Source organism: Homo sapiens, chromosome 17, assembly GCF_000001405.40.
Source record: "Homo sapiens chromosome 17, GRCh38.p14 Primary Assembly".
NCBI lineage: Eukaryota > Metazoa > Chordata > Mammalia > Primates > Hominidae > Homo > Homo sapiens.
This window is the reverse complement of record NC_000017.11, coordinates 3207112-3219115: the sequence shown is the minus strand read 5'-3', so window position 1 is coordinate 3219115 and position 12004 is coordinate 3207112. Positions and strand designations below refer to the sequence as shown.

Here is a 12004-nt window from a genome sequence, read left to right as displayed (position 1 = left end):
ATTTCTCCTTTTGAATTTTCTCTTATCCTGAATCCTGTGGTCATTCTTTCTTTGCTTTTGTTTTTGTTTATTATTATTATTATTTATTAGTGACTGTCTTAGTAAGATTTTAGGAGGAGTTGTATTATCTTTAGATATAGTCTAAACTATGAAGTAAGCACAGAAATATTTCCCCAGGTCAGTTTCTTTTTTTTATTATTATACTTTTAATTCTGGGGTACATGTGCAGAACATGCAGGTTTGTTACATAGGTATACACGTGCCATGGTGGTTTGCTGCATCCATCAGCCTGACATCTGCATTAGGTATTTCTCCTAATGCTATCCCTCCTCTTGCCCCCAACCCGCTGACAGGCCCTGGTGTGTGATGTGCCCTTCCTTGTGTCCATGTGTTCTCATTGTTTAACTCACACTTATGAGTGAGAACGTGCAGTGTTTGGTTTTCTTTTCTTGTGTTAGTTTGCTGAGAATGATGGTTTCCAGCTTGATCCATGTCCCTGCAAAGGACATGAACTCATCCTTTTTTATGACTGCGTAGTATTCCATGGTGTATATGTGCCACATTTTCTTCATCCAGTCTATCATTGATGGGCATTTGGGTTGGTTCCAAGTCTTTGCTACTGTGAACAGTGCCACAATAAATATACTTGTGCATGTGTCTTTATAGTAGAATGATTTATAATCCTTTAGGTATATACCCAGTAATGGGATCACTGGATCAAATGGTATTTGTGGTTCTAGATCCTTGAGGAGTCACCACACTGTCTTCCATGATAGTTGAACTAATTTACACTCCCACCAACAGTGTAAAAACCTTCCTATTTCTCCACATCCTCTCCAGCATATGTTGTTTCCTTACTTTTTAATGATCGCCATTCCAACTGGCATGAGATGGTGTCTCATTGTGGTTTTGATTTGCATTTCTCTAACGACCAGTGATGTTGAGCTTTTTTTCATATGTTTATTGGCTGCATAAATGTCTTCTTTTGAGAAGTGTCTGTTCATATCCTTCGCCCACTTTTTCATGGGGTGGTTTTTTTCCTGTAAATTTAAGTTCTTTGTAGATTCTAGATATTAGCCCTTTGTCAGATGGATAGATGGCAAAAATTTTCTCCCATTCTGTAGGTTGCCTGTTCACTCTGATGATAGTTTCTTTTGCTGTGCAGAAGCTCTTTAGTTTAATTAGATCCCATTTGTCAATTTTGGCTTTTGTTGCCATTGCTTTTGGTGTTTTAAACATGAAGTTTGCCCATGCCTATGTCCTGAATGGTATTGCCTACGTTTTCTTCTAAGGTTTTTATGGTTTTAGGTCTTACGTTTAAGCCTTTAATCCATCTTGAGTTAATTTTTGTATAAGATGTAAGAAAGGGGTCCAGTTTCATTTTTCTGCATATGGCTAGCCAGTTTTCCCAACACCATTTATTAAATAGGGAATCCTTTCCCCATTTCTTGTTTTTGTCAGGTTTGTCAAAGATCAGATGGTTGTAGATGTGTGGTGTTATTTGTGAGGTCTCTGTTCTGTTCCACTGGGCTACATGTCTGTTTTGGTACCAGTACCATGCTGTTTTGGTTACTGTAGCCTTGTAGTATAGTTTGAAGTCAAGTAGCATGATGCCTGTAGCTTTGTTCTTTTTGCTTATGATTGTCTTGGATATACGGGCTCTTTTTTAGTTCCATACGAAATTTAAAGAAGTGTTTTCTAATTCTGTGAAGAATGTCAATGGTAGTTTGATGGGAATAGCATTGAATCTATAAATTACTTTGGGCAGTATGGCCATTTTCATGATATTGATTCTTTGTATAAAAGAGGATGGAATGTTTTTCCATTTGTTTTTGTCCTCTCTTATTTCCTTGAGCAGTGGGTTTTAGTTTTCCTTGAAGAGTTCCTTCATGTCCCTTGTAAGCTGTATTCCTAGGTATTTTATTCCCTTTGTAGCATTTGTGAATGGGAGTTTCTTGAAAGGTTTAAAGGATGAGAAAATAATGTCTGGTTTGATTATCCCTAATTATAATATTACGTTTCAGATATTAATATCTTATTCATTCCACTTCCACCAGTATTTATTGGATGCACTTTATCTGACCAAGATTGGGAAGGTACAGTGATGTGTAAAAACAACTCCTGCCCTCAGAGGCTTGCAAGCCTAATAAGGGTGATTAAACTTAACAGTCAAATAAAAATGGACACATGAATAGTGATTTATAATCTTGGAAGCATGAGCTATTGTAATCAACACACCATGTGACCCATGTAGGGCACTTATTATTCCTAACATGTAGATGTGAAAGCTGAGGCTCAGATCTTCCCAACTTGACTCTGCTCATCAGGACATATGCCCTATATCCCTGTGCTGCCACTCTGCCAAAAAGAGCAGCAATGAGTTGAAAGTGGTAATTTCAATAATCACTTATTATTAACTTATTAAAATGTTATAAGAGTTCTGAGATTAGGAATTTCAGGCTAGAAAGATCAGAGACTGCCTCTCGTAGGAGGATGACATCAGAACTGGATTTCCAATATACCGTAACTGGTGACTACGGTATCCAATGTAGGCCCTCACATTGGTTACGAGGAGATTCTCTTGTTGAAGAGTTTCCGCAGGGCAGCCTTCATGTCCCGATTTCTCAGACTGTAGATGAAAGGATTTAACATTGGGGTCACTGCCGTGTACATTACAGTGATCACTGCGTCTTTTAGGCTATAATTGGTCAAAGGGCGGAAATACGTGCCCATGACTGTACCATAATACAAAGAGACAACCGTGAGGTGGGAACCACAGGTGGAGAAGGCCTTGAGCACGCCCTTGGTGGAAGGAACCTGGAAGACTGTGGAGAAGACTCGAATATAGGAGACAATGATGCATAGTAATGGCACAGAGAAAATGCCAACCCCTAGGTACATCATCTTCACATGAAAGTGGATGTCAGAACAGGATAACTTCAGCAAGGGGGTAATGTCACAGTAGAAGTTGGCCACTTCCTGGTTGCCACAGAAGGACAGACTAGCTGTGAGCAGAGTGTGGGGGAGGGCATTGGCATTTCCAATCACCCAAGACCCAGCAATAAGCCAGATACAAGACCGTGGACTCATAATTGTTGTGTAGTGAAGTGGGCGGCTGATGGCCACAGCTCGATCATATGCCATTGCAGCCAAAATATAGCTGTCTGTGTTACCCAAGGCTATCATGAAATACATCTGCGTTAGGCATCCCCCAAAAGAGATGGATTTGCTGCCCAAGAGATGGTTGGCCAGCATCTTAGGGATGGTTACCGATGAGAAGAAGATGTCAACCAAGGAGAGGTTGGCAAGGAGAAAATACATGGGGTTGTGAAGGCGAACATCAGAGCAAATGGCTAGGACGATGAGCAGGTTTCCAATCAATGTGATGGGGTAAATGAACAAGAAGAGGATGTAGAAGAAATCTTCCTGTTCCTGCTGACCAGTAACTCCCAGGAGGATGAATTCCAGTGTAGAGGACTGGTTATTTTCCCTCATGGCTTCTTTAACATGAAAGGGGAGAGGAATATCATTATATTAGCATAGTTACTGTGTGTAGTGATAATCCTTCTCCATCACTTCTGACTTAAGTGATTCAGCTGTGTATACACCTGAGTTTATTAAATTATAGAGATATCCAGTATTTTGGGGAAACATCCCTGTAGGTCAATAGGACTAATTGTCATTCACCCCTTTATAGTCATGTCTAAAAAGTGAGCAATCTCTGAATCAGAAGTGCCCATCCTTCCTGTTCCAAGCACCACCACTAAACGCCTAGAAATTAATCATATAACAAATAATTGTCATGTCCCATGGTCTAGTCACTTTGTTAGACCTCATGGAGAAGTTATAAATATGTGACAAATACAGTTTATTCATCTATTTATTCAAGACGTGGTCTCTGTTCTCAAGGACCTTACAACTTAGTGGAGAAGCCAAAATCACACACTAATTTTATTACCCATGATAAGGAGAGGACAGCATTTTGAAGTCTTTGACAAAATATTCCAGTGCAAAAGGTCTGCTGGTGAAAGGGCCAGCCCAGAAATTAGGAATTTTTCCATTGAAAAAACTCAGAGGGATCCCAGAGCCCAGGAGGTAACATGTATCTACACTGTGTCGGAAGATTGTAAATCACAGGGACCAGTGCATTTAGATCCTACTAAAACAGTCTGGAGAATTTTCTCCCCAGGTGTCTCATTTTCAAAGTAAATTTTCACCATTTCCTTTAAAAGAAAGGAAAAAAGAGTTGTTGGTTTTTTTTCTCTCTTTGGCAAGCCCTCAAGTATATACAATCACAATGCCTTTCTCTCAGCCTTCTCTTCCTGTTCTTAATTATTTCTTTGGGTGACTCAAGCAACTGCTTAGTGGCTTCAACCATTGCTTAGTAAACTGTGAGGTTTACATCTGTAGGTGTGAACTTTTCCCTCCGTATTTCCACTTCACTCATACTGCCAACGTGACCAAACTGCACATCCAACCTAAGATGAGGGCAAGATTTTAGGGGAAGGAAAACCATATCTTGTTTATTTTTACCTCCTTCAGATAGACTATTATGGAATATTTTCTTTTTTTTTTTTTTTCTTTTTTTTTTGAGATGGAGTCTCACTGCATCTTGCCCAGGCTGGAGTGCAGTGGTGTGATCTCGGCTCACCGCAACCTCCGCCTCCCAGGTTCAAGTGATTCTCCTGCCTCAGCCTCCTGAGTAGCTGGGATTACAGGCATGTGCCACTACGCCTGGCTAGTTTTTTGTTGTTGTTGTTGTTATTGTTTGTATTTTTAGTAGAGATGGAGGTTTCATCACATTGGCCAGGCTGGTCTCAAACTCCTGACCTCAGGTGATCCGCCCGTGTCGGCCTCCCAAAGTGCTGGGATTACAGGCGTGAGCCACCGTGCCCAGCCAAATATTTTCTATTGTATGTATCAATAAGTTTTCTCTTAATATTTTTTGAGTCAAATCCAGGTATATTTCTTGTACTCCCCATATGTGGGATGCTCACAAGCTTAATGACTCAGTTTCTCTCTCACCTCTACATCTAATCTTGTTGATTCTTCCTTTAAAATAATTATTACATAATTCAGCCTTTCTACTAAATGTCCCAGTGCTTCAGCTCCATCATTGTTTTCTCCCTGAAGTATTGTAATGCTAACTCAACTGCTTGACTCCAGGTTTCCTCCTCTTTGATCCGTCTTGTACTCTAAGACTTAAATTACAGCGGCAACGATCAGCTGCTTAGTCAAATCCGTGTTGTTCTCTTCTTCTTGGACGTTCAATTAGACTACATTTCCCAGACTCCCTTGCAGTGAGGTGTGCTCATGTGACTGAGTTCTAGCCATTCCACACGTGTCCCAGTTCTGGGCTCCTCCACACCTTCTTACCCTTGTGCCAGTTGGATGCAAATGGAGAGGAGGCTGAACAGGATGATGGAGACACATGATGGAATGAACCTGTATCCCCAGTACTCCACACTCAGGAGAACCTCCCCCAAACAAAAACATTTATTGTAACCATTATGTAGGAGAGAAATAAACCTTTACTTTGTTTAAGCCATTTTACATTTTGTGATCAACTTGTGACAGTTCTGCAGAATATCTAGCATTTACTAATTTTTCTAAAGAGATATTGACTCAAAAATATATTAGATCTGTAATTAATTCAATCCTCACTTCTCAGCATCTCTTGTAGTACATGTTTGAATCATGTGCTAGGTATGAGGGATGTAGGTCTAATCATCTTTATCATTTCTCATTGATACAGGAGGTAGAAAGAAATTATTTAGGCAGATAGTGAAAGTAAAAGAGTCTTTGGCAGAGCTTCCCTTTTAACAAAAAGCAGCCCAATAAATTACTTTTTTTCTAACAAAGAGCAGCCTGAGAAATTGAGCTGCAGACATAGACAAGCAAGCCGGAAGCCTGCACAGGGGAAGGCTGGCAGCTGTGCCAATAGGAAAGGGCTACCTGGGGGCCAGACATATCCAACATGGAGGCTCCATCTTCCTTTTTTTGTTATCATGTGTACAATAAGGGAATGGGCAACGTGGTGCAGGCCAGACGGAGAACCTACCTGCATAATTAAAGATTAGGGTGGGGGCTACCAGAAATTCATGCCCTATGCAAATGGCACATCTAGTCCTAATCAGTTTTTCACACCCTATGCTAATGACACACCTGGTCCAGCCAGTCTTTCCTGCTCCATGTAAATCAGACTCTACCTCCTCACCAGGCGTCTAACCCCCTGCCTCCATTTCACTGCAGATCCGGCAGCCCATTTCTCCAAGAACCCTCTCTCCAGCAGAGAGCTATCCTCTTTCTTTCACCTATTAAACTTCCACTCTTATCCTCACTCTGTGTGTATCCACGTCCTTGATTTCCTTGGCTGTGAGGCAAGGAACCTCGGGTATTACCCCAGACAAGGAGGCCATTTCATAATTATGATGTACTTTCTCATCTCTGCGCCTAAAGAAGTTTGATTTTCTCTCTTGAGATGCCCTCCCCCTTCTTCAAATAGAATCATAATACCTCAGGTGTCAAATCGTTCAGTAAATCTGGAGAGGCAGAGAGCATGGTTAGCTCATATGGTACGGATATGTGAGTTCAGAGGTGGAGCTCTTGGCATCATGGCAGACTAAGTTGATGTTGACAGTTCCCATTGCTGTTAAAATACATTGAAGTTATAGAAAAATATCAAAGTAAAGAAAAAAAAAACCCAAAACACATAACCATACCTAAAAGAAAGAAATAGGAATACCTTAGTGTGAGAAACAAGAATAAAACTCAGAACAAGAAACATGAGCCATAGAGGATGCTGTGGTGGCCCCTTGGGGTCTCCATTCAGACATTAGCTAGTTCTTAATGGCTGGGTATAAGGTCTTTATGCCCCTTGATACAGTGTGACCACAGATCCACACGAAGCAGGGAGACTAATTTGAGACTCTGTTAAAAAACCCTTGAAGTGTTGTCCTATTTCTGAAAAGAACACTAGAAAGAATTTTGCCATAAAAGAATTGGAAAGAAAAGAACAAAAAGATAAGAGTTCATAGAAAATATTGTCTACAAAGAAAACCCAAGGGAATTGATGTTTCAGCAAGTTTGTTATAAACAAGTATTTCAAAAATCAATACTATTCTTGTACTTAAACACTAAATTAGAAAATGGAATTCATTTTTACTTTTTCCCAGAGACCCTTTTTCCAGTGCAAGAAAATATAATTTTAATAAAGATTTATTTTTTAAAATGGCCATAGAAAATTTTAAGGAATCTAGAAATAATTCTAATAAGAGATCCAAAATTGATTTAAAAAATAAACTTTAGTGAAGCACAAAAATATTTAAAAGGTGGTGAGGTAAATTGTTAATGGAAGCCTCAATATTGTGAAAATGTCAGTCCTCTTCCAATTACTCTCTAAATGTAATGCAACCCCAAACCAGATACAAGTTTCTTTTAAACATGAGTTTGACAAACTGATCCAAAAATTCATGTAGGAGACTGGGCACGGTGGCTCACATCTGTAATCCCAGCACTTTGGGAGGCCGAAGCAGGCGGATTACCTGAGGTCAGGCATTTGAGACCAGCCTGGCCAACATGGAAAAACCCCATCTCTACTAAAAATACAAAAATTAGCTGGGCGTGGTGGTGCACACCTGTAATCCCAGCTACTTGGGAGGCTGAGGCAAGAGAATTGCTTGAAACTGCGGGGGCAGAGGTTGCAGTGAGCCGAGATTGTACCACTGCACTCCAGCCTGGGGGAAGGAGCAAAATTCTGACTCAAAAAAAAAAAATTCATTTAGGAGAATAAAGAGGAGAGATAAGACAATTTGAGGAAAGAAAGTGAGGTACTTTTTGTCTCATTAGGTACAAAAAAGGTTTACTGTGATAATTCAAACATCGGAGTAATAGTGAGTTAGAGACCGACAAAGAAATCAATATTTGGTCTAATCGACTAGGAAGGCCAGACACAGGTTAAGCATTTCTTAGAAAGTGGTGTGTGACATGAGGTGGTTTAGAAACAGGCAAGGAGACGATGAACTATTTAGCCCAGAGTCATTGGACAGTTGGTTATCTATATATGAGAAGTTATACAGAAAAATAATTCCTAAAGGATTAACTGTGAAAAGCAAAACGTCAAAAAATTTAGTGGAAAATAAAGGGAAAATTTGTGTATGCTATCAAGATAGGAATTGATTTCCTACAAACTCATAAGAAAAGGACCAACAGGCCAGGCACGGTGGCTCACACCTGTAATCCCAGCACTTTGGGAGGCTGAGGCGGGCAGATCACCTGAGGCCAGGAGTTGGAGACCGGCCTGGATAACATGGTGAAACCCCATCTCTACTAAAAACACAAAAATTAGCCAGGTGTGGTGGTGGGTGCCTGTGATCCCAGCTACTTGGGAGGCTGAGGCACGAGAATCACTTGAACCCGGGAAGCGGAGGTTGCAGTGAGTCGAGATTGCGCCACTGCACTCCAGCCTAAGTGACAAAGCAAGACTTCATCTCAAAAAAACAAAAACAACAACAACAAAAAAAGGACCAGCAATACGGCAGAAGATAATGGTCCAAAGACTTGAACAGGCAAGTCATAGGAAACTGGCATGGCCCAATAAGCAAAGACCTTTAACTAAATTAAAAATAAAATTAAATTTAACATCTTTCATCTTGGAGTGTGTAAAGTGTAAAACTCTGACAATTCCAAGTGTTGGGAAAAATGAATACAGTAGTATTATATTACATTCAGAAAATAGTGAGCCCATATCCAGGAAAGTCGAAATTCACACATCTCTGACCCAGCCATTCTGCTTTCTGCTTAGCTTCTAGAGAAACTGTAGCACATGGGTGGAAGAAGACACATGTAAGATAATTTCAGCCACTCAGGAGGCTGATGTGGGAGAATTGCTTGAGCCCAGGAATTCAAGACCAGCCTGGGCAATAGTGTGAGACCCCATCTAAAAAAAAAAAAATGGAAAAGAAAAAAGAAGACGGGCACATGTGCATTGTCATATGGGAAACTTAGAAATGGTCTACCCACGGAGGCATAGATAAGTAAATTGTGCTATTTTTTAGTAGTGAATCCTATGCAATAGTTAAAATGAATAAATTCATGGGGTAAATTAGGGAAGAAAAGCAATGTGATGATAAAAAGCCAGTTGCTGGAAGATATATGGCATGTCACAATGTATATGTAAATTTTAACCATAAAATAATACGTTTGTATGTGGTAAAAGTGTAAATTCTGAATAGGAATATACTATCAACAATAGAATAGTGGTTTTCTCTGGAGTGAAAGGCAGAAAATAAGATTTTGGATGGGAACAAAGAAAATTTCAAGTGTATCTGTAATATCGATTTATTTAGAAACAAGGTCTCACTCTGTTGCCCAGGCTGGAGGGCAGTGGTATGATCATGGCTCACTGCAGCCTTGAACTCCTGGTCTCAAGCAGTCACCCTGAATCTGCCGCTCAAGTGGGACTACAGGTGTGTGCCACCACTCCCAGCTAATTTTTTAAAAATTGGATTTGTAGATCTCCATGATGTGTTTATTTCACATGGCATGCCTGTATCAAAACATCTCATGTTACCCCATAAAGATATGGTAAATTGAATTGTACTATGTACCCACAAAAATTTTTTAAAAATAATAAAAATAATTTAACAATTATTTTTGTAGAGACAGGGTTTTGCTGCGTTGCCCAGGTTGGTCTAAAACTCCTGGCCTGAAGTGATCCTCCCACTTCAGCCTCCCAAAGTATTGAAATTCCCGGCATAAGCCACCACACCTGGCCTGCAATATTTATGTTGTATTATTCTAAGTGAAGTAACTCAGGAATGGAAAACCAAACATCGTATGTTCTCACTGATATGTGGGAGCTAAGCTATGAGGATGCAAAGGCATAAGAATGATACAGTGGACTTTGGGGACTCGGGGGGAAGAGTGCGAAGGGGGCGAGGGATAAAAGACAACATATATGGTGCAGTGTATACTGCTTAGGTGATGGGCGCACCAGGATCTCACAAATCACCACTAAAGAACTTACTCATGTAACCAAATACCACCTGTACCCCAGTAACTTAAGGAAAAATAAAATAATTTAAAAAAATTAAAAAGAAACAGTTGGAGCAAATACCTAATGTTCCATTTGTATAATCTAGATGATGAGCTTCTGTTGTTATTTCACATGTTCTGTGATGATTTGGTCCAGAGGACAGCGATGGAGCTGGGTGGCTCAAGTTCATGTTTCATTTAAGGTAGGAGATAGAATGTTCCTTGTAAAGAGGTTGAGAATAAATGGAGGTTTATTTATACTGGAAGAGGGACCCAGGGGCCATATATCAGACTAGGGGAAAGAGGTAAAAAGACCCTCTACCACCAAGAAGAGAAGCCAGGAGGTGCCTCAACATGCATGCTGGAGACGTAGCGGGCCTTGAGTTCACTGGGATGACGTCAGGGCCTTGAACATTGCGGCGCCTTTAATACCCACTTTCCTGGAAAGCGTCATCCTCTGAGATATCAGCCATGTGAATGGGGTGGTGCTGAGAACAATTCTGCAGGGACAGAGGAGGCAAGTGTTTCCCCTTATCTGGGTAGCAGTGTAGACCACCAAGATGCATCTCTCAGTACTTTGAGACTTCCATGATAGTTCAGCTCATCAGTGCTTTGGTAATGAAATACCATGTTTTCTAATGGGCCCATTAGCATGACCAAGGTGATTTTGTAGGTCTCTAAGACAATGCACTTTTGGCAGGTGCTCTCGCTCTCTCTTACACACACACACATGCACACACACACTATATTACTATAGGAGGTAGAAAGAGCTAAAGACTGAGAAAAGCAAATCAGAATTATCTTTTTCTGATGCTGTTTTCATGGACAACAGCCCAAGGAGAAACATTATCAGAAGGGGAGGGTCCTCCTCCTCCTCCTCCTCCTCCTCTCTCTCTCTCTATATATATATCTCTATCTCTATCTCTATCTCTCTCTTGTCCATCTGATCCTCAGAACTTGGATACTGGAGCCAGGCCAAGATTTGAGTTCTAATTTTGCCACTATCTCTGTGTGTGTCTTTGGGCAGTTCAATTTACCGTCTTTTTATGTTTGATAAAATGACATCATAATTCAACTTACCTCTTGGGCAAGTAGCCTACAGTTGCTGGCTGTCTACCCTTTGATGTTGCTGTGATACAGTCTCTTCCAATGTCTAAGTCCCTATCTGTGGAGTCAGTTCAGATGCTTTTAAAAAGGGTCCTGGCCCTGTGGCCTTCACTTCTCCTCCACAGAAAGGAAGTTTGCAGTTAGTTCATCTAGCACCTGCTAGCATCCCGTTTGAGGGCAGCCATGCTGGAGAAGCAGTGGCAGGATGGGGAACAATCCTCTGTTCCTGAGGTGGAGGACACAGGAATGGGATGGTTTAGAAGGAGGAGTCCCCAGTTTCCCAACAGGGGAGCCGAAGGGACAAGAGGAGCTACCCCGAAAGAGCTTGAGGACAAGGAGTCGAGTTTCCTCCTCAAGGAAGCAGGCAGGTCACAGCATAGAGAAAAGTGGGCATTAGTCACCCGGTTATCAAGTCTCTGGAAAGGTGATTCCTCCAGGACTTCATCCGAGCCAAAGTTAGAGTAATTGTTGCAGCTTATTTACATACTCCTTCACCTGTGTCCCGAGGGGACACAGTGGCTCACAAGAGTAATCATTTCCAGGAGGACGGATGGACTGGAGGCTTTCCAGAGAGTGTGTCTCCAAGGTCCAAGCCCTGGGGTGAGCTATTCCAACCTCGCTGTTGGAATGTGACCCCCTCTCCTTTGCACAAACGCAGAAGTGCCCCTTGGGAGCTACAAGGATTATGGTGGAGTGAAGCTCCTAGTCTTTCTTCCAGTCTGCTGTTTAGACTACAGAGAAGAGTTATATTTCATCTTTTCTCTAGAATTTATTCTCAAGGAAGTTTAGGGTGGAAGTTATACTTGTCTACTTGTTTTTAATGTGGCATGCAGATAGTAGGCCTTTTTTTTTTTGTTTTTAG

At 41.0% G+C, this 12004-nt stretch overlaps 1 protein-coding gene across 2 annotated transcripts; it reads right to left on the bottom strand.

Annotated features, from left to right (window-relative positions):
- Positions 1-219: 219 nt before the first annotated feature.
- Positions 220-11449, bottom strand: OR1A1 (olfactory receptor family 1 subfamily A member 1). Of its 2 annotated transcripts, NM_014565.3 has the most exons (4): positions 11116-11449; positions 10118-10535; positions 6517-6649; positions 220-3500 (listed from the first exon to the last, which is right to left on the bottom strand). In NM_014565.3, exon 4 carries the CDS (start codon positions 3493-3495, stop codon positions 2566-2568), a length of 930 nt encoding a protein of 309 aa, NP_055380.2. In that variant the 5' UTR covers positions 3496-3500; positions 6517-6649; positions 10118-10535; positions 11116-11449; the 3' UTR covers positions 220-2565. The 2 variants fall into 2 exon arrangements, with proteins under 2 accessions (NP_055380.2, NP_001373033.1); NM_001386104.1 differs by lacking the exons at positions 6517-6649; positions 10118-10535.
- Positions 11450-12004: the final 555 nt, after the last annotated feature.